Here is a 24,002-nt window from a genome sequence, read left to right as displayed (position 1 = left end):
AAAATATTAGACACATGTTTTGATGTTTTGATTATGGATTAAGGAAAAAGATGCTCCATTCTTTTATTTTGTGTTGTATTGTTACTAGAACATTTCATTCTTTTGCAAATACTTTGTAATTTTGTGGTGAGAAAATGAATGGTTGAAATGTGGTTGATAAAGAAATATCTTGATTGAGATCTATATTGGGATTAAGTCTGTATTTAGATTTTGCTGCAAGTTACAGAAAACACAAAGGAATAATGGCTACAATCAAAGAAAAGTTTATTTTGAGAAATTACCATTCTTTTAATTGTGTGATGTTTCACAGTATAATTTCACACTGTATTTCTACACAGTGGCTTCCATTCCCAAAATAATCTCATATCCCTAATGGAAGTTTTAATTACAACAATTAACCAAATTTAAAGTGACCAATTGGATAAAGGAGCTTACAAAAACATGTCTATCTCATTACCTCCTAGAACTTGAACTTATGGCTCATCTTAGGTCAATTATTTGACTTCTATATATGTTCACTCATTTATTAAAAACTGAGAAATTTAGACATTGTACAATGAAGTCATGCATTCAACTAACAACCAGAGGCTCCATTATAAAAAAAAAGTGAGAGAATAGAGAATGAAAGCATCCAGCAAATCTCCATGAAGATTCAAGCTGCAAAAAAGTACTCTAATCGGATGCAATTATGCTTGATATTTTACTTTCTTTTCTTTTTTTTTTTTTTTACCGTTCTCTCTCCCCTCTTTCTTTTTTTTTATTATACTTTTAAGTTCTAGGGTACATGTGCACAACGTGCGGTTTGTTACATATGTATACATGCACCATTTCGGTGTGCTGCACCCATTAACTGGTCATTTACATTAGGTATATCTCCTAATGCTATCCCTCCCGTATTTGACTTTCTAATGACAATGTTAATTTCATTACCAGAAAGTGTATACTCTATAAACCAGTTCACACATGGTAAATGTATCTTGCATTGCCTGGTTCTCAGTAATATTAAATTTCTATCAGTTTTTTTCTATATGGTTCCTTGTATTTAGATAGTAATCATTTGAATTCTTGGCAATTTATAATAAATTCATTATTTAAGGTTGATGGAACTGAAGGGGATGTTCAGCCAGGATGCAACCACACAAAAAGTCATACCAACACTGTTAGTTTTTTCAAAAATTCTAAATTTATTCGAGGTCTTCGAGTGAATAACATTTTCTTGTGATAATCCAAATGACTAGAGTTTGATACCATCAAGTTTATTACCTTAAAACTCATCACATTCCTATTAACAATGTCTTCCATCAAAATATAGGCCATCGTGATTATAATCTTTTTAAACATTGTTAATACTACTTAGAATAATCAAAATTATAACAAAATTAAACTTTATTATTTATAGTAAGTGGTTTCAATAGTGCACTCCTTTAAAAGAACTAGCAGAAGATAGTTAATGAATGATTAAATTAGTAACATTCCAGTTGTTGGTAAATATTCTGAAGTAAAACAAATGTCAGTAAGGGGAATAAAGGGTAGTAAGGAAGCGGTATTTTTAAAGTGTGCTTGGAAATATCCGTTTGCATAAATTTTGTATAGACATGTGAAATGAATGAAAGGGAACCATGCATGCATACTAAGGAATAGTTTTCCAGGCAGAGGAAATAGTAGACTATTTGATGGAGGGGACAGTAAGAGGTCCACCTATTTGAGCAGAGTGAGTTGAGGTTGATGAGGAGAATGACCTCGGAGGAGTTGGTGAATACATCGCACTGATTTTGCTCTGAATGATTGAGTAACTATAGGTGAATTTAAACATGGAAGTAATATGAAATTGCCACTTTTTTAGGAAACATAATTGATTGAGTTTTGAGGAAAAAAATGCAAAGGGCAAGAATCAAAGCATATGATGAGCTAGTAGGCTATTGCATTAATCTGTAGTGAAAGACCATAAAGTCTGTAAGTGGTTGTTGTGGAGAACACATATTGAATATATAGAAAGTAGACAGATTTGACAAAATTTCATGGCAGATAAGGGGTTTGTGAGAAATATAAGATAACCTCAAGGTTTCTGTCCTGAGCAACTAGGCAGTTGGAATTTCCCTGTAGTGAATTTGAAAATATTAGGAGTACAAACTATGGATAGGCACAGTTTTTAGTACTTTACATGTATGATACTCTCACAACTTTATGAGATAAATAAAACATTTATCTTCATATTGCAAGGAGGAAACTAAACTGCATATAATTTTAAAATCTTTTACAAGGACAAACAACCTGTAAATGGCAAAACCAAGACTTTAACTCATTTGTTTTGATTGGCCACAGAGTCCACATTCTGAAACACTGTGTTATACTTTGTGAGGGGTGTTTTTGGGGAGAAGAATCAAGAGTGTTGGGAATTTATATTTAAGGTGCCAATAAAATACACTTAAGAAGAAACACTGAATAAAGCATTAGACTCTGGACTTGAGTTCAGGTGATAACGCCAGAGAAACAAATATCGGAGCTATTGGGCATAGACGCTATTTGCAACTATAGACATGGATAAAATAACCTATGAATAAATATAGATTTCTTAAAAAAAGAAAAGCCTGGGCTGGGCGCGTTGGCTCACGCCTGTAATCCCAACACTTTGGGAGGCCTAGGTGGGCGAATCACGAGGTCAGGAGTTCTAGACCAGCCTGGCCAACATGGTGAAACCCCATCTCTACTAAAAAAAATACAAAAATTAGTAGGTCGTGGTGGCGTGTCCCTCTAATCCCAGTTACTTGGGAGGCTGAGGCAGAAGAATTGCTTGAACCGGGAGATGGACATTGCAGTGAGCAGAGATCATGCCATTGCACTCCAGCCTGGGTGACAGAGTGAGACTCCGTCTCAAAAAAAAAAAAAAGAAAAAAGAAAAAAAAGAAAAGCCTGTTTTCTTTATTAATACAGGGGTGTCCCAGCACTTAGAAGTTATAAAAAGAAAGAGCACAAATGAAACAGCATGGGGCACTTTGGAAAATAGGAGCTTAAACAAGAGAGAGCAGTGTCATGAATAAGTGTCATAGGAGAGCCAATAAAACTTTATGGATTAGTAATTTACTTCCACTAAAATATTTACATTCTTGCACAGTTGACTTCCCATGCACAGAGATTGAAAGCATTGACACTCACAGACTTGGGAATTTGGTCTGTTGTGGAATGCTGTTGTATAGGTTTATTCTAAGGGTAGGTAGTTTATGGAAACCCTTACATTAAAATTTGACGTTTGATGTGTCTTTAGTCATTTCAGTGGTGTGAAGATCTTTAGTAACTGCAGCTTCGAAGACTTTGCACATTTTATTTCAAAGCAGAAGTCCCAGTGTCTTCACAATCAGCCTCGCTTAGATCCTTTTTTCAAACAGCAAGCAGTGTGTGGTAATGCAAAGCTGGAAGCAGGAGAGGAGTGTGACTGTGGGACTGAACAGGTTGGTACTAATTCGGAAGACTACGCACTGAAATTGCAGCAAAAATTACTTATTAATTCGAGTGAGAAACTGCCATTTTCCTTAATTCATCAAGCTAAATTTTCTGCAAATGATTCAGGAGGGCATGTAGGTATTATAACAACTAATGAGTGCACTTATATATATTGGTGTAGTGCTTCAGTGCTTTGTGGATCTACGTGGATTTGTATGAATATACAGGTAATTTTCCTTTATTTATTCTAGCTTTCTTGAGGTATAGCTGACAATTTTAAATTGTATATATTTAAGTTATACAACTTGATGATTGAGTATATGAGTACATTTTGAAATATTTACTAAAATCTAGATAACTAACATACCTGTAATCTCACCATAGCATTTTATTTTTTCCTTTTCTTTTGCTTTTCAAAAATTTTCCTTTCTGACAAGAACACTAAGAATCTACCTTCTTAGCAAAGTTCAAGTATATGATACAATATTGTTAACTGTAGTCATGTTTGATCTCTAGAACGTATTCATCTTGCAGAACTGAAATTTTATACCCCTTGACCATCATCTCCCTATTTTCCCCTCCCTGAAGTCCCTGGTAAGCACCATTCTAATCTCTCATATAAGCAATTTTCAAGGCCACTAATTTCATAGCTGAGTTGATGTAGGTTCAATCTTTTCCTCTTGAGTATATACTTCCCTAGTTTTTAAGCCTAAAATTTAAAACTAGTATTTAACCTAAATTCCTTTGTTGTTCAGAAAGAGAGATATTTTAAAGCTTTCACTATGGAGCCAGAAAACCTAGGGAGTACATTTGTGGTTTTTGAATATTTTAATCCAGGTCGATATTTAAGTCAAAAAGATTTGTAACATACATAATTAAGAAGAGCTAGTTTTCTCAAACCACAGAAATCTTAGATAAAGCACCTGGGTTGAAGGGAGGTGAGGAGAGCAGAGATAAAGGGAATGAAATAAGGGAAAGGAGATATTGAAACTCATAGTGAATGGTACAGGCTCAAAAGGATCACAAAGACTAAGTAGACTTCATTGTGCCCTACAATGGTCACTCATGTAGCCTTCCAACCTTAAAAGTATGTTTATAGATCCTGAGATATGTGATATGTTTTTAAAAAATTGTTCCTCGTCACCCACTTGTTTTTGCTTGGTTGGGTTTGAATGGAAACATCTTGAAAATTTCTTCTTCAATTTGACAATCATGTATCTAAGCTCTCGAAATGTTATATAATTGAGGCTTAAACCACTGAGATATAACTTTCCCCTCTAGAATTACAGTAGATAGCAATGACAGTGACAATTCTTAGAATAGCTGTGAAAAATACTGACAACTCTGTGCTTCCAAGTATCTTGCTATAACTCATATGAAGACTACTAAACTCATGATTTATCTTTTTGTGATTTATCAAATTTCTTTTTCCAATTTACCCTATTTTAAATTTCTGGGTATTTAAAAAATGTGAGTGTGTGTGTGTGTGTGTGTGTGTGTGTGAATGCATTGTCTTTTAGCCTTCTTATCTATTGCTTTTACTAACTTTAGTAATAGAAGTTTTAAAAGCATATTCACTGGGCATAGATGAACTAAAGCATAAAACAAGGCATAATAAGATATGAGTGAATGATATAAAGGTGACAACTTCAGCATTCTCAGAAATAATATCATTTTCCAGACCTTAATTAGGGAGTTAAAAATGAAATAAATCAACAATATACCATAAAATGCAGAAACTTGTTAAAATATTATATTCAGAAGACTCTAATAAGAAGTAGTCACTGCAATATAATTTTTAAATTATAACTTCTGTTTATTTTACGTCTTGTATTTAACTATCTCTGTCTACAAGAGCCAGAGCTCTTCTCAGTGACTTGGCTATGGTGGACCCCAGGGCTTCAGAGAATCCTTTTATCAGTGTAACCAAACCTATTATAGCAATATGAGCAACACATGGTCTGGCAATTAGTAGGTAATTAATAAATGTCTGTTAAGTAAATGAATAAGTGGTTTTATTTTTCTGTTTGCCAACATGTAAGTTAAGCACCTATGTGTATGTTATATAATATGTTGTCTTTATGAACATGCCTGTCCAATATGAATACAAGTTGGAAAATACTTCAGAGCATTTGATTTGCCTTACAGGATTGTGCCCTTATTGGAGAAACATGCTGTGATATTGCCACATGTAGATTTAAAGCCGGTTCAAACTGTGCTGAAGGACCATGCTGCGAAAACTGTCTAGTAAGAGCTTTTTGAAAAATTTCAATATTACCTACATAAGTAGTTATCATTATTATGCTTATGTATTCTCATTCTGCTTAATTCAATATCATTTACCTCATCCCATCAGTTTATGTCAAAAGAAAGAATGTGTAGGCCTTCCTTTGAAGAATGCGACCTCCCTGAATATTGCAATGGATCATCTGCATCATGCCCAGAAAACCACTATGTTCAGACTGGGCATCCGTGTGGACTGAATCAATGGATCTGTATAGATGGAGTTTGTATGAGTGGGGATAAACAATGTACAGACACATTTGGCAAAGGTATTTATTATCATTTGATTTCTCATATATGCGTTTTTTTCTGGAAACTGAACAGAAATAGATGCTGATACATGATTGTGATTTTTAAAATGTCACATTTAGTTTAAATATTCTAAAGAATTATAGAAAGAGAAGAATACGGCCAGGCGCGGTGGCTCACGCATGTAATCCCAGCACTTTGGGAGGCCGAGGCGGGCAGATCACCCAAGATCAGGTGTTTGAGACCAGCCTGGCCAACATGACAAAAACCTGTCTCTACTAAAAATACAAAAATTAGCCGCAAGTGGTGGCACATGCCTGTAATCCCAGCTACTCAGGAGGCTGAGGTTCCAGTGAGCTGAGATCACGCCACTGCACTCCAGCCTGGGAGAAAGAGTGAGACTCCACCTCAAAAGAAAAAAAAAAAAAAGAGAATACTGTCAGAAAAAATATCAGTAGCTAGAAATTAAAAATTAATTTAATTAAAAGTGAAATCATTACATTATTAATTACTTTCATCAAAATAATAGAGGGAAAGATTCAAAGTCTATGGGACTTCTGAGTTCAAGAAGGAAGAAAGTAGAGAGAACACAAACTATACTTTTACTTCATATCCATCCCTTGTTTTGGTAAATATGGAATAAGTAATATGACTATAGACATTAAAGTAATTATAAGTTGTCATATAAATACAGTTCAAACCACATTTAATGCAGGCACACACATTCAGGTGCATAAAATCACCTGTGGAAACAATAAGGAAATTTCATGAAAATCCAGGGACTCTGAAGTTATTGAGGGATGATGTGCACTGACGTTAAAAACAAAAAAGAAAACCATGGTGCAAACTATATACAAAATTGTTTGCTAAATAATATGGAAACAGCAACAATGCCAACAGTATTTCATCCCCATATCGAAAAAATCAGGAACAATTGACAGAGGAAACATTTAGGATGTTCATAGAAACAGATAGGTGGTCACCTTTATTCTCAACTGGAACAAGTTGCAAGTCTAACTCTAATTTCTGTGTAAAAAGGGATTGCAAAGCACTTATCACTAACCAAAATGAACATAAAATTAGGAATGACTGTTGGTTTGAAGAAAAACAAAACAAAGATGCAAAGAAAGAAACTTACAAAATGAAAAAGTGTTGTCCTGGGAAAATGGGTAATTTGGTACCACAATGTGGATGATTTTCAGATTAAAGAAGGAAAATAGAGACAGAAAGAGACAGAAAGGCAGAAAGAAAGAAGAGGGAGCAAAAGACAAACTTTTTAATTACTGATTTAATTTCCTCAATCGTTGGTGTATTCCGATTTTCTACTTTTTTCATAATTTAATATTCGTAAGTTGGATGTGTCCAGGAATTTATCTATTTTTTCTGTTATCAAATTTGTTGGCATATAGTTGTTCTATTTATATATGTCTCTTATATTCTTCATATCATAAGGTATCATTGTAGTATCAGTGGTAATGTTTTCTGTTTCATTTCAGATTTTATTTATTTGAGTCTTCTCTTTCAATTATATGGACCCAGAGTGCTTCCTAAGGAGCACTCTACATCAGTATTATTTAGTGGCCACCAATAGTCTTTCCAATTTCCTTTAATGCCTTGGCTATATGTTTTCTACCCTATGCCAAAAGTATCTCTATGAGAAGACAGATTCAAACTTCAAGCAGTTTATAAGACAGCCTTAGCTTTCACTTCCTGCTTGTTCAGGACCTAAACATCATAGAGTAAGGAGTGACTAGAAAACTCTCTGTTCTCAGAACTATTCTAGGTATGTGTGCAGCTATTTATTTATTTATTTATTTATTTATTTATTTATTTATTTATTTTTTGGAGCCGGAGTCTTGCTCTGTCGCTCAGGCTGGAGTGCAGTGGTGTGATCTTGGCTTACTGCAACCTTCACCTCCCGTGTTCCAGTGATTCTCCTGCCTCAGCCTCCTAGCCTCCTGAGTAGCTGTGATTAGATGCACACACCACCACACCCGGCTAATTTTTGTATTTTTTAATAGAGATAGGGTTTTGCCATGTTGGCCAGGCTGGTCTCGAACTCCTGACCACAGGTGATCTGCCTGCCTGGGCCTCCCGAAGTGCTGGGATTACTCGCTTGAGCCACTGCGCCTGGCCTGTGTGCAGCATTTTAGATCCAGTTACATTGTTACCAAGCAATGAGTTCACTTCCGGATGTGCATAGAGGCCAACACTAATAGCACCAGCTTCCAAGAAAAGAGAAAGCTTTATTGTGAGGTCCACCAGCAAGGAGACAAAAGGCAATGCTCAAATCTGTTTCCTTAAGCTGGCGTCTGGGGGCAGGTTATATAGGCAGATGGTAACTATGAGAGAGATGAGAAAGGCTCTGATTTGGTCATGCAAAGAGGCGGTGCCAGGTCCTCAGCTTTTAAGTTTTTACTGCAATAAAACAGGACTCCCCTCCCTTCTTTTTTGAGGGGAAGAGGGCAGTGAGGGTCTTGCCCAAACTGTAGTACAGTGATGCAATCACAGCTCACTGCAGCCTCCAACTCCCAAGGTCAAGTGATCTTTTTGCCTCAGCCTCCCAAGTAGCAGGGACTACAGATGCATGTCACCATGCCCACTATTTTTTCTTTTTCTTTTTTTGTAGAGGTGAGGTCTTGCTGTGTTGCCCAAGTTGGTCTCAAACTTCTGGTCTCAAGTAATCCTCCTGCCTTGGCATCCCAAAGTGCTGGAATTAAAGAAGTGAGCCACTGCATCTGACCCTTTGCTTCTTAATTTGTTCCATGCTCCTAGATTTGAATATTTCAAACTGAGTACTTCAGTTCCAGCCTGCTCAGGTTCAGACTATTTGATTGGCAACCTGGGGGTCGATGGCAACTGAAAAACAGCTAATCATTTTGTGACTGATAAATCTGACCCAGAGTGAACAATAGGTTTGAGCTATTCTGTTTCACATAGTCATCTAACTCTCCAGGAATTCCTTTAAAATTTCCAGTGAGCTCTTGTTTGCCTCAACTGAAATCACAGCCTTAGGCACTGGTGATGTTGGTAGCAGATTTATATTATTTCAGTAATGCCTTTGTTGTCAGTGAACCGGTTCAGATTCTTTACTTCACTGCCGAAAAGAATTTGAGAGCAAGTCCAAAGGGAAAGTAAATAAAGAAGTTCATTGCAAAGCAAAGTACGCTCTGATAGCAGGCTGCACAAGAATAAGAGCGTCGGTTGGCATTGAGGAAACTCCCTTTATTGGAGCCTAACATGATTATTCATAAAAGGGTGGGAGTGGGCATTGTTGTTTAGCATGTTGTAGGTGGTCTCCTGAATGCACATGTGCTATTGCTGTACATGCCAGTACATGCATCACATTTCTCATTAGCATTTTAATTCTCCACCCAAGGGTGCCTTTTTTACTATTATAATGAACATAGGTCACTCCAAGGACACAAATCATGGGTTTCTGCACTTGAACCAATTTGGGTGTTTTCCCTTATGTTTCTTTACCTCCTTGCTGCAGGATGTTCTAACCAGTATCCCAGGATGCAGTTTTTGCACTGTTGGGAGGTTTATTCTCGCCATCTATTTTGCAAGTTTGTTCTCATTTAAGGGATGCTATGACCAACCTATCTAATTTACCTCACTCTGAAAGCCAAGATTTTTTTTATTCATTTTTTTTTTCACTTAACTGAGCTCTAAATCAAATCAAGTAGCCCTAGCCACCTGGTAACAGAGATTTTTCCAGGGAATGGAAAGTTTAGATAAAATATTTAGATAAATTATTGGCTGCCTCTGGGCATAGCGCTTTCACAGAGCTCCAACGGAGATGTGACCTCTTCATTAGCTGTAAGCCTGCTGGCTTTCATCTGTCATGAGACACTGAGAACAAATGAGAATATGCCCAAGTTAAAACATCACCGACCCCTTTGTTTATCAATTCTATCAACCAGAACTACACCAGAGAAACAAAATCCATTGGATATGTAATTCTGCACTCTCTCTTCCTCTCTGTAGATAGATAGATATAGGTATATAGATATTTTATTGTATATAAAATTTTGTGTATATATCTATGCAAATAATTGGCTGATCAGATTGTGGGGCTGGCTAGGCAAGCCTGAAATCTGTAGGGCAAGACAATTAAAAGGGCAGAATAGAAATTTTAAGCATAAATTGAAGTCCACAGGCAGAATTTTTTTCTTTTTCAGGGAAGCCTGCTGTAAAGGTCTTTCAACTATTAATAATTGAATCAGGCCCATCCACATTATCTAGGATAATATTTCTTAAGTAAAATAAACTTATTGTAGACTTCATTACACCTACAAAATACCTACAGAGCAATGCCTAGATTAGTGTTTAATTGAATAACTTGAGACTATAGCCTAACCAAGTTGATACATAAAATGTATCATCACACCGTCTTTCAGTAGTTTCTCTTGGATGCCTAAAATTCATTTTGATCTGTAGATTGCGGCTTTCTTTGTTTTGGCCTATTTTTTGTCTACCAGCAATGGCTTGCTACCATAGCCAAGGTTAAAATTTTGACTTCTTACCCATAACCAGCCTTGCAAATGACCTCTGGGACAAAATGAACTTTTACTTTTCAGTTCACTACATCATCTGTGGGTCGCAGCTGAGATCTGAGTCTGTCCACTCTGTTATTGAGCATTCATGCTGCAGCAACATTATGTAGTGGTTAAGTCTCCCTGTCAAAGATTTTTGACCGAGTCCATCAAGTAGAGCAGTTGGAGGTTATGAGAAATAAACTGCTTTTTAAGTAGGTTGAAGCTTTTTTTTCTTTTTCCTTTGAGACGCAGTCTCGCTCTGTCGCCCAGGCTGGAGTGCAATGGCGCGATCTCGGCTCACTGCAGGCTCTGCCTCCAGGGTTCACGCCATTCTCCTGCCTCAGCCTCCCAAGTAGCTGGGACTACGGGCGCCTGCCACCATGCCCGGCTAATTTTCTTTTGTAGTTTTAGTAGAGACGGGGTTTCACTGTGTTAGACAGGCTGGTCTCGATCTCCTTAACTCGTGATCCGCCCGCCTCGGCCTCCCAAAGTCCTGGGGTTACAGGCATGAACCACCGCGCCCGGCCATGTAGGTTGGATCTTATGAGAATTAAAATTATACAGATTATGCATGTGGATTGGATGATGGGAGGGTGAATGAATCAATTGTGACTCCAATATATTTCTTGTCTAAGGAAATTATGATGTAAAACAAGATAATTGGTTAGTTGTTTGACTTGAAAAGACATTCATGCTAAAACTGTTTATTTGACAAATAAGTCAATTATGTGAAAAAAGTTTCCTACGTACTAATAGATATGCATTTATAGACTTACTATGATTAGAGGTTAAACAATACAGTGGCTAACTCTGGAGTATGTCTAGGATATGTCTTTGAATAGTAGACCAGAGTCCTTTCAATTTTTAAACATTTCATTGAAGTAGTTTTGTGTGATCTTAAATCTAGTTTTTATTTTGAATGTTATAGTATGATCTTATTTTGTACAATGAATATCTTAAACCCTTTCAGAATTTTAAGTGTATTTGTTATTTATTTTTAATTAATATAAGTTTAATATGACTAACCTCACCTTTTTATTTTCAGAAGTAGAGTTTGGCCCTTCAGAATGTTATTCTCACCTTAATTCAAAGACTGATGTATCTGGAAACTGTGGTATAAGTGATTCAGGATACACACAGTGTGAAGCTGAGTATGTTTTCAGAAATCTGTCTTAGAACTTCTATTTATCACCTTATATTTGAAAATACCATCAAACAATTAAGTTTATGTAAGCAAAATATCCCCTGAACATAAAGTAAGACCATGTTTATTCAAATTATAAATATCATAGACACATTTCTCCTCTCCTATAACCAAATTATCCCTTGTACTTTTCCACAAAGTGTTTAGTTTTCATACAGGTACATTAATTACCCATCAGTAATCATTTTTATTGTGCATGCTATTACTTTAATTTTTTTTTTTTTTTTTTTTTTTTTTTTTGAGATGGAGTCTCACTCTGTTGCCTAGGCTGGAATGCAGTGGTGCTATTACTTTAATTTTTACAAAGCATGACAATCCTCATAGTAAAGAAGTTAAAATACACGAATTTTTACTGCTTAAGGAGCAAAATGTGTTTTTTTTTTATTTTTTTATTTTATTTTTTTGAAGGAGTCTCACTCTCTCCCCCAGGCTGGAGTGCCGTGGCACTATCTCGGCTCACTGCAAGTTCCGCCTCCCGGGTTCACGCCATTCTCCTGCCTCAGCCTCCCGAGTAGCTGCGACTGCAGGCGCCTGCCACCACGCCCGTCTAATTTTTTGTGTTTTCAGTAGAGACGGGGTTTCACCGTGTTAGCCAGGATGGTCTTGATCTCCTGACCTCGTGATCCACCTGCCTCGGCCTCCCAAAATGCTGGGATTATAGGCGTGAGCCACCGCGCCTGGCCAAAGCGTGGTATTTAAGAACATGTGCTCTACAGCCAGACATTTTGATTTTAAATCCTAATCCCACTCTTTACCTATTTGTGTGACCTCAGGCACGTATTTCAGTTTTTTTTAATATGTAATATATGAATATTAATAACGCATCACCAGTTTGGTGCCAGTGGGAAACATAGACGCTGTATGAAAAACACTTAGAATGGTGACTGATACATAGTATGTACTATATGAGTGCTAACTATTATCTGTTACTATTATTTTGTAAATTAGAACTAGAAGACCGGGCGGGGTAGCTCATACCTGTAATCCCAGCACTTTGGGAGGCTGAGGCGGGCAGATCACCTGAGGTTAGGAGTTAGAGACCAGCCTGGCCAACCTGGTGAATCCCCGTCTCTACTAAAAATTCAAAAATTAGCCAGGCATGATGGCGGTTGCCTGTAATCCCAGCTACTCGAGAGGCTGAGGCAGGAGAATCGCTTGAACCTGGGAGGCAGAGGTTGCAGTGAGCCGAGATCGCGCCACTGCAGTCCAGCCTGGGCGACAGAGCGAGACTCCACCTCAAAAATAAAAAATAAATAAATAAATTAGAACTAGAATGTTACTGATACCCATTCCTTTGCTGTAAAATTTTATGTTGATATTATTTCAAAAGTAAAGTAAAACTTCTGTAATAAACTTTATAGTTTTCGTGAATAGTGCAAGGAATTCCCATATACCCTTTGCCTAGGTTTACAGGTTGTTTACATTTTTCCTGTTGCTTTACCCTTCTGTTGTTCCAACTCTTCTCTCCTCTCCTCTCTTCATAATTATTTTTCTGAAAGGTTTGAGTGTAAGTTGAAAACTGTGCTTGTTTATTCCTCAATATATCCATGTGTTTATCTTGAAAATAAAGATATTTTCTTACATAACTTATTGTAGCTATCAAACATAGTTCATATTGAAATTTCATTCATTGTTTTGAGTAATTTTAGGCTATTTTCCTTGTTCAGGAACAAACCCAGTGTCAGATATTTACATTTACTCCTAATGTATTTTTAGAGTTCTTTAATTTGGAACATTTTTGTTTTTATTTGTGTTTCTTTTTATTAGTTTTTTTTAATACTATCGGTTAACTAATTTGTAGAATTTTCCCACAATTTAGGTTTCTTTGAAATTTTTCATAATTATGTGTAAGTGATACATTTTGGCATGTTTATCACTGAAGTGATGTTGTTGTACCCTGGATTTTTTTAAAGGTACATGCCATTTTCTTTCAGTATTGGACATTTTAGGTTAAATGTTTTGATAAAGTCATTATTCTCTAAATCTTTCAACTGTGAAATTACTATTTTCCTTTTGGGTTTAATATGTAATTTTGGAGGAGTTATATTGAGACCCTGGGCATATTCTGTTTCTCCTCAAACTTTAACTAACTAGTTTTAAAATCCATTAGTGATTTTCTAACTGTATTATTGACTTTGCCTTTATTATCTAGAAATGTACTGTAGGAAGAAGTAGTCACTTCTATATTTTTATTTACTTATCTATATATATATCAGTTTAGACACAATAATTGTTATTTTATTTAATAGGATAAAATACATTACTATCATTATTTTGATACTTTCTCAAATTCTCTTAATTTTGACTATTGGGAATCCCTTTGAGCTGGTTAATGTGTCCTTTTCAAAAGTCTGTAGGACTTTTTAATAACTTCCAAATTTTTCTAGCACAAGAAAAGATGTTGTAGGTTGCATTGAGCTTCTTCTACTTCTGCTCTGGATTCAGCTATTCATCCAAGGAGCCTTGGTTCCTTTTCTTAGAAGATGGTATTTGAAAATAAATACCTAAGCACCAGCTGTGTGCATGTCTACTATTTCTTTTTTTTTTAAATTTTTTTTATTTTTACTGACTTTTTATTTTTTAATGTTTTTATTTGGAAACAATTTCAGACATATAAAAGTTAGAATAATAGTGCAAATAATTCCTGTATACCCTTCAAATTTTCCAAATTTTAGCATTTTAACACATTTGGCTTATCATTTTCTATCTCTTTGTCTCTGTCTCTGTCTCTCTCTTTCATTACATATAATATACACACAAATATACAAATACACACATTATAAACACATACAGTTTTGTAACTATATGTATATATTGCTTTATAATTGCTTTTCTGAAATATTTGAGAGTAAATTTCAGATATGGTGGCCCTTTATTTCTTTTTTTTTCTTCTCATTACCTCTCAAGCCTGTCAGTCAATGGAGCTAGAACATGCATTTCATATATGCACATACATGTATCACATATTCATTCATGTAAATCTCTGAATTTAAGACATGAACTTAGTGATAATTCTAATTCCAATTAAGTGCCATAAAGTACATTTTAGTATACAAGTTGCTTCCTCATATACTCAAGTTCCAAATGCACAGAAATTTGCTTTATAATTGCTAAAGCATATACTTACTGAAAGAAAATTCTAGCTATTATGACTATATTTTCCTTTTCATCATTGATCCTTTTTATATAAGCTGCATTAAAGGGCTTCTCTGCTGAATGAAATGTCTGTGTAGTATTGGTGTTGGTATCTAGTAATTTATTTGCCCTCTATGTTATATTTTACTTTTTCTATGTGTGTTTAGCATATTTCTTAACTTTGTATCATATAATATGACTAATACATAACGGAAATTGCATTCACTTTTGCTTTTCTGAAGGCTAGAATTTTGTAATGGAAAGGATTTAACATAGCTGGACTCAAACTATAAAGCAAACCTGTCTCTGAGCAGGAGCTGAAAACATTGTTCATTTCGTTATGCCTCTGGGAGATGCTTTTTATGTGCTCCCTGGATTCTTCACCACACAAGCTTAATTAGTTCAGTAGTCATCCAGGTTTCAGGCTGAATATAAACCTGAAATTTATATTCAGATTTCAGTTCTCAGTCTAAGTTTCCAGTCAACTAACTGACATTAGACCCGTATTTTAATAATGTCCTGGGATTATTCAAGCTAAGAATCTTCAACCTTGGATGTGCTTTCATAAATTATTAAACAAAGCCACATCTACAGAATATCTGGTGCTGCAGTTCCCATTCTTAAAGCTCAGTTATATAGTCCTTTCCTTTCTGGTTACATTCCGGTGTCTTCAAAGTGTGAGCATGTGTGTTTCAGATTACAGTTCTACCTTACTACAATGCCTTCCAGCCAAAGACCACCAAGAAGGCAGCCGTAGTTGAGCAAGTTGGGTTTTTTTACATGTTGAGTGGTGAGAAATCGCATCATGAGAAATTGTGGAGTATGCCAGTTCTAGAGATTTGGACTTGGGTTAGGTGATTTTAGGAAGGTTTCAGGAAATAGACCTTTGCTGTAAATTAGATGTTTTAAAGTAGAGATATTAATAATTGTATGATTGTATATCTTAATCTTATATATGAAGAGGGAAGACTAAAGTGAAGCTAAAGTTGTAATTGCTAAAGAAGCAATAGTCACACATATTAGTTGAATCCTGGGAATGTCCAGTAACTGTGGCTTGGACAATGTTTGTTTCTCCTCTGTGTTCATACATGATCTATGAAGTGAGCTTGCTTATTTTCTTAATCTTTCATGATCACAGAATGGCTTTGCCTAAGGTTGATGTTCTATGAAATTACTTAATGTTTAACTGGTGTGTGCACTATGAGTGCAGAACAGCTTTTATCAACTCCAAGTCCTTCCTCGATGACTCCTGGCCACTTCAGGGGCTGGGTTGCCCATTTTCGTTGTCTTCTTTTGGCCAAAGGGAGAAAAGTTCAGGCCATAGAAAATTGCTTGAAGACATTTAGATTTTCATCACTGCTGAGATTTTGCTGATTAGGAGGCTATTTAGATAACATATGTTGTCTATCTCAACATATGCAGTTGATCTAGGGTTAGTCTCTCTGCCTCCATGGTTTCCTGAATCTTCTGATGTAGCAATGGTCATGTGGTAGCATTTAAGATTCCAAACAGGATGCAAGGGCCAAATAAAAATCTTATGGTTTGTAGCATGTACTGTAGGCAAATGCTCACATTAATCTGTAGGACATACTACCTATGTGATATATATAGTGATAACCCTGTAGTATTAATTAATGGTTATTTTTGTTAATTAATATGAGTGACCTTGAAATCTTCATTTTTAAAATCACTGAAAAGGTGAACAGATGTTAAATTCATTTGAGCTTGGGTTTGATTTTGTTTCAGATTCAAAGGAAAGTGAAGGAATCACAAAAAAAGTTGTCAGGCTAACTAGGGAATATTAGGTTGGTGCAAAAGTGATTGCGGCTTTTGCCATTAAAAAAGTGGCAAAAACCACTATTAGTTTTGCACCAACCTTAGTTCATAATTAATTACTAAAATGTTCAGTTATTATTGGCAATTTAGGCAAGGCTCTTTTTTTGGTGTTTTAAAACGAATTGCATGTATTAGCTTGCAAACCTTGAATACTTTATTTAAATCTATCTATTTTAAAAATTATATTCTTGTACTTCTCTAAATTAAAATTAATAATTTTTATTTGTGGATAAATTATAGCAATCTGCAGTGCGGAAAATTAATATGTAAATATGTAGGTAAATTTTTATTACAAATTCCAAGAGCCACTATTATTTATGCCAACATAAGTGGACATCTCTGCATTGCTGTGGAATTTGCCAGTGATCATGCAGACAGCCAAAAGATGTGGATAAAAGATGGAACTTCTTGTGGTTCAAATAAGGTAGGTAGTCTTTTATTCCCAAATAATTTCCTAATATTTTAGACTTTGCCCTTTTTTGAGATGAGTGTCACTCTTGCCCTGGCTAGAGTGCAGTGGTGTGATCTCTGCTCACTGCAACCTCTGCCACCCAGGTTCAAGTGATTCTCCTGCCTCAGCCTCTTGAGTAGCTGGGATTACAGGTGGTACCACCACACCCGGCTAATTTTTGTATTTTTAGTAGAGACGGAGTTTCACAGTGTTGGCCAGGCTGATCTCAAACTCCTGACCTCGGGTGATCCACCCACCTCAGCCTCCTGAAGTGCTGGGATTACAGGCGTGAGCCACTGCACCTGGCCTAGACTCTGTTCTTAAATGATACATAATTAGTATTTTTTCTCAGAATTTAAGTGCATATTCAATACAGAAAATCAGGAAAAAACAAACTTTAAAAGAATAAAATATTTGCAATCATGCATATATGACATTGCTATGACTATTTCGCTGGTTATTTAGTAACTTTTTCATTGAAATTATGTGTATTCACTGAATTGAGAACTGCGTTGTTCATTTACTGTATTTTATTAAATATCTCATATCACACAGAGAATACATCTAATGTCATAAATTATCTTTTGATATAATCATTTTAAAATAGCCATTAAAATAATATATGCCCATTTTACTGATGAAAATAATAAACAAACTCACAGAATAAAGAAAAAAATCAATCCAGTCGCATATCTGAGATGTAATAACTTAATTTTTATGAACCTTCCATCAATTTTTCATAGACATGCACACACACATGGAGTTGTAGAATATTTATCTGTCTACATAACTATCTTTCTTACTTTGCATTCAATATGGTACCTATGCATACATATCAACAGTTTTTGCCTTCCTAGATTTTTTTATTATATGAAATATGAAATACATACAAACACGTATATACACAAGGAGGTGCAAGCTCAAATTAGTCTCATGTTTAAATTATAAAGCCTCTCTGGCTTAATAAGTAACAGAATACAGTAAGCCCCTTATTGAAGAAAAGAGGGAAAGGAAAACTATGCTAACTTTACTAATATTCATTTAGAAAATTAGTAAGTAAGAGTGTATACAAATAAAAAAACTGTCATTCAAATTCTCACACAAAATGTAAGTCATTTAAAAAATTGTGCAACACATTTGCTTTTATTAAATTTACTTTGAAAATGTCTTACCAAATTAATGCCCAAGACTATCTTACATTTTAAATTCTCCATTGTTTCTAAATAGGCTAAAATACGTTATGTGAGGTAGGAATTGCACAGGAAATGGGAACCACCAAGAGTGGCTTAAATCGTTGGTAGTTATTTTTTTCCCATAATACAAAGTAATTTTGGAGGTTGTCCATCCAGAGCAGTTATTGGGTGCCATTATGTCATCAATGATCCAGACTCAGTCCAGTTTTTAGCTATAGATCTTGTTTGTGATCCTCCTTTACATGGCCTTCAAAAGGGTTGATTGGAACTCTGGTTATATCCACAGTTAGTGAATGGGATGAAGGATATATGACAGGCAGTACCCTGCCACAGTGTTCATGACAAAAGTGATGTCCCATCAAGTAGCCATCTAAGAACACTAGGACGAGGATGGGATGAGTTGGAAAAATAATACATTTTAAATCAACCATGTATTTGAGAAACTAAAAAACCACACACAGGCTTAGGAAAGATGCATGCTCAGAAAGGACCTGGGATGATCATAAGCTTTATATTCAGGTTGACCCCAACATTAAGATAATACTAAATTAATTAGTAAAGAACTTTCACAGAATAGAGCCATTCTACAAACACTGGGCAAGTTGGCAGGTTTTTAAATTGCCCCATTTTCATGCTATTTCTTGCCTGAATACCTTGTTTTGTGTGTGTGTGTGTGAGTGTGTGTGTGTGTGTGTTTTGTTGTTTTATAGGTCCTGTGAAATTTATGCTTTAAGGAGGTAATGGATTTACTATTCCGGTGGATTTACTATTACTTGCACCCTCTAAAGCTGTGGGCTGTGCTGTACCTTGGACCCTTTTAGCCATAGCTAGAGTGGCTGGGATGCAGGGTGCCAAGTCCTGAGGCAGTATAGAGCAGGGGGACCCTGGGCCCTGCCCAGGAAACCATTTTTCCCTCCTAGGCCTCTGTGTCTGTGATGGGAAGGGCTACCATGAAAGTCTCTGATATGCCTTGGAGACATTTTCCCCACTGTCTTGATGACTAACATTTGACTCCTCATTACTTATGCAAATTTCTGCAGCAGACTTAAATTTTTCCCCAGAACATGGGTTTTTTTTTTTTCTATTGCATCATCAGGCTGCAAATTTTTCCAACTTTTATGCTTTGCTTCCTCTTGAATGCTTTGCTGCTTAGAAATTTCTTCTGCCAGGTAGCCTAAATCATCTCTCAAGTTCAGAGTTCCACAGATTTCTAGGGCAGGGGCAAAATGCTGCCACTCTTCTTGCTAAAACATAACAAGAGTCACCTTTTCTCCAGTTCCTAAGAAGTTCCTCATTTCCATCTGAGACCATCTAAGCCTGGACTTCATTGTTCATATCACTAAGCGCATTTTGATCAAAGCCATTCAACAAGTCTCTAGGAACTTCCAAACTTTCCCACATTTTCCCGTCTTCTTCTTAGCCCTCCAAATGATTCCAATCTCTGGCTGTTACCCAGTTCCAAAATCGCTTCCACATTTTTTAGTATTTTCACAGCAGCACTCCATTCCTGGTACCGATTTTACTGTATTAGTCTGTTCTCATGCTGTTAATCAAGACATGCCTGAAACTGGGTAATTTATATAGAAAACAAGATTTAATGGACTCACAGTTCCGCGTGGCTGGGGAGGCCTCACAATCATGGCAGAAGGCAAAGGAGGAACAAAGGCATGTCTTACGTGGAGGCAGGCAAGAGAGTGTGTGCAGGGGAACTGCCCTTTATAAAACCATGAGATCTCATGAGACTTACTCACTATCAGGAGACCAGCATGGGAAAAACCTGCCGCCATAATTCAATTACCTCCCACCAGGTCTCTCCCATGACACTGTCGTTATTGTGGGAGCTACAATTACATCTCCACCGTAATCTTTTGCCCCAGGTGTCTGCAAATGTTACTCTCCCTGCACCTTTCCCTAGCAGTCTATACTGCTTCTTTCCATCTGAGATTTGAGTTAGGCAAATCAGAAACCAGTCCTTAAGGCAGCTACCAGACAAGTTAGAGTATTGCCAATAAAATCTGTGCTGCATCCTTCAGTTTGAGGGAAGGGATTGAGAATTTAGCTGCTGCCTCATTCAGACAAAAATGCCATAAAATTTTCTACCATTTTGACTGTGACAATGTGTTCTTCAGTATTTTACTGGTTGCTGTAGACCTTTGACTGTTGCCAGAGCTCCTATAATGTTATTTCAGCCAGATTTTGTTTTGTTTTCTATATCACCGTTTTTCTGATGTACCTCCCCAGACTATTTATTGAAAGTTTGATATAACCTGCTTCTAATTCTGCCACTGTTGTAGGGGGTGCAAATGATCATTTAAATCCAAAATGCTTGGTCATTGGTGGCCACTGGAGGAGTGCTGCCTTCAGTTTTGGTTGCTTTTGTAAAATCACACTGTTTCACATTTTCTGAACCTAAAAATGATTTTTATCTCTGGTACAACTATGCCTTTAAAAAAAGAGTATGAGCCTGGCCAACATGGTGAAGCCCCGTCTCTACTGAAAATACAAAAATTAAGTGGGCGTGGTGGCACAAGCCTGTAATCCCAGTTACTTGAGAGGCTGAGGCACGAGAATTGCTTGAACCCAGGAAGCATAGGCTGCAGTGAGCTGAGACCAAGCCACTGCACTCCAGCCTGGGCAACAGAGTGAGACCCTATCTCAAAAAAAAAAAGAGTATGTACAGATTTTATTTCATTTAGCATTTTAGTTCCTACATAACAAGAAGGTTTCTGTAGGAACCTATTCCGCCTAGTGATAATAAAGGAGGCTGCATTATGATTCTTATCTCAAAACAAAAATAAATCTGTTTTAGAGAGTTTGGTGAAGAATAAAAAAGAATTGTTTTTTTTATGTAATATTACTATTGCTATATGGTTATAAATAATTTTTAATTTTTTTAGCTAGCTTCTTTATTTGGATGCTGCTTTTCCCTAGCAAAGCTTCCTGCATGATACAACTGAAGTTAAGCACTCTGCCACAGGCATGTTAAAGCAAAAACAAACAAACAAACAAAACCCAGACAAAAACAAAAACAAACAAAAAAACCCACAAAAACACTTCATTGCAGAAAAAGGGTACCAGTAATACCAACAACCCTTCCTCAACTTTTGTTTCTCTAGACAATTAATATATTTAATGGTTCTGAAAATTAGGTTTACTTTTTTCTGGACAATAGCTCTGCAAATTATATATCTAACTACTGTATTTAAATTGTAGTTAAGTGTGAAGGAAGCATGCTAACAGAATAGATAGATTTATAACTACAGCAGCACTAATCTGTATCCAGTATCCAGAGCTAGTACTTTTTATACTACTACCACAGCCATCCAAAATAACCTGGCCATCTATTCATCATTAGTCCATTTCCCCATAAATCTTAAATGGAGGTATGCATTGCCGTAATTAGCCAACACAATTAATAATGTATTTTTTCATACTCAATAATGTTGGGCAAAAACTATGTGAACAGATTAACTCTCTGACTTTAAAAGTTAGTGTGTTATGATCCTATATTATAAGAGGAAAAATCTCCCAAAATATTGCCAATATTCTTTAGCAAACTTTTAAAATAAAAAATATTTCTAATTACATGTTCTTGGGCTTACCATTAGTCGCTTTGAGTATTTGTATGAGTGCATTAAACATTTCTTGTTCTTTTGAAACATAGCATTATTTGATATAGGTTGAAAGAGATCTCTGAAAACAATTACTAAACCTTTGTCTTTATGCTTAACTTTCTTTATCTCAGTTGATTTAACTACCAGCAAGAGAATTAAACAAGTCAGAATCCTTGGTGTCATTCACCCATCTCTTTTTACTATGCATATTACTCCAACTCAGCTGGTTTCAACTTTCTATCTCAAATACATCTACTGGTTTCTATCCTCACTACCACTCAATTTCATTGTATGCTTATCATTTTTGTGGACCACAGCAATGACATTCTAACTTTGTATCTATAGGCTATTGCCCTTTCCATTCTCTTTTCCAAAACCTACTTTTATCAGCTTTCCTTCTTCCAATATGTAAATATAGCAAATTGCTATATTTGACCAACTTGCTCATGAAGAATATAAGATTCTACACAATCATGCCAATAATATCTTCTTTCATATAATATCGAGTTTTTTGTCTGTTTCTCTCTCTTTTGTTATGGTATGAACAAGATGAGATTTGTGTTGTTCACTGATGCCTTCTTGGGGCCAGGTACATTTGTAGGACTCAAATATTTATTTAATGAATGACTGAATGGCCACACTGCCCTTTAGATTTCTCAAAGGTTCAATACGGTCTTCCATGGTAGAATCATTTTAAATATTACTTCTTTTTTTATAATACTCTGTCTTTTATTTCTATACTAATTAAGTCCTATCTATCATCAGGGCTCAATGAGAAGGTTTTAACTGTTCTCAAATATTTGACACATTTCCTGTATTTTACGCTTCACAAATCAATTTTTTCATTACAGCATTTATTACGTACTTATTTGTGTTTTACTCATTTCATATTTGTCCCTGCTATCCCAGTCTAAGCAGGGAAGAAGCTGTTATTGTTTTGTTTACTCCTAGATAATCAGAGTCTCATCTAGTGCTGGAAACATAGTAGCTCAATACATTAACTATTCATTGTTAGTATACTAATTCTTGTTGCTAAATCAATACCCTTTTTATTAGTCCATGGTAATATGGTATGGTATGGAATGCTTTTAATTAAATGGCAACTCTAGATGGCATGTCAATTAACTTATTTTTGCTCATCCTTTTTAGGTTTGCAGGAATCAAAGATGTGTGAGTTCTTCATACTTGGGTTATGATTGTACTACTGACAAATGCAATGATAGAGGTGTAAGTAGCAGTACTATGAGGTGAAAATAGAAATCATTGAGCCTAATTTTAGGAAACTGCATTGCTACACACACACACACGCACACACACACACACACACACCAAAACATATAGGAAAATTGGCCTTAGCTGACCTACATATTATTTTATAATTCTACTTGAACATATATAAATCTAGTTGCTTATCTTATAAGGTGATATTTCTCCTTCTTTTAGGTATGCAATAACAAAAAGCACTGTCACTGTAGTGCTTCATATTTACCTCCAGATTGCTCAGTTCAATCAGATCTATGGCCTGGTGGGAGTATTGACAGTGGCAATTTTCCACCTGTAGCTATACCAGCCAGACTCCCTGGTAAGTATTAATAATAAATCAGAAAATAATTAAAACATAATTTGAATTTATTAAATTGGATAACAAATAATATTTTGTCTACCAATTTATATCTAGACTATGTTTAGACATTAAACTGCACATGAATGTGTATGTGTTACTTCCACTTCCAGAGAGTAATATATTACAACATATGTAGCATATGTTATAAATATGATATATCAGTCAGAGCCCAGGCATAAAGACAGAAATCACTTTAGTCTTTCAAACAGAAAGAACACCGTGTAAGGCATCCGGTAATTGCATAGATGAGAAGATTAATCAGAGAAAGGTGAGGCAACCCAGAAAATGACTACCACTTTTTAGGGTTGTAGGGACAATAAAAAGAGGTGGTATTACTAGAATCAGATTCTGGGCCATTTAGCATGATATATAACTATGGTCAGGGATGTATAGCAGGATTGAAACCACAGGGAGAGTAACTGTCCAGCATGAGC

At 35.8% G+C, this 24,002-nt stretch overlaps 1 protein-coding gene across 6 annotated transcripts in view; it reads left to right on the top strand.

Annotated features, from left to right (window-relative positions):
- ADAM2 (ADAM metallopeptidase domain 2) overlaps positions 1-24,002 on the top strand; it is a 94,493-nt gene that overhangs the window by 65,390 nt on the left and 5,101 nt on the right. For 3 of the 6 annotated variants that reach the window (XM_011544479.1, NM_001278113.2, NM_001464.5), the window contains 7 exons: positions 3,263-3,446; positions 5,587-5,685; positions 5,795-5,990; positions 11,557-11,662; positions 16,927-17,110; positions 23,094-23,171; positions 23,388-23,526. In XM_011544479.1, coding sequence (XP_011542781.1) covers positions 3,263-3,446; positions 5,587-5,685; positions 5,795-5,990; positions 11,557-11,662; positions 16,927-17,110; positions 23,094-23,171; positions 23,388-23,526 — 986 coding nt within the window. The remainder of the gene's footprint in view (positions 1-3,262; positions 3,447-5,586; positions 5,686-5,794; positions 5,991-11,556; positions 11,663-16,926; positions 17,111-23,093; positions 23,172-23,387; positions 23,527-24,002) is intronic. The other 3 variants (NM_001437784.1, XM_005273468.1, NM_001278114.2) reach the window with 2 other exon arrangements.

Source organism: Homo sapiens, chromosome 8, assembly GCF_000001405.40.
Source record: "Homo sapiens chromosome 8, GRCh38.p14 Primary Assembly".
Taxonomy (NCBI): domain Eukaryota; kingdom Metazoa; phylum Chordata; class Mammalia; order Primates; family Hominidae; genus Homo; species Homo sapiens.
This window is presented reverse-complemented; position numbering and strand designations above follow the sequence as displayed.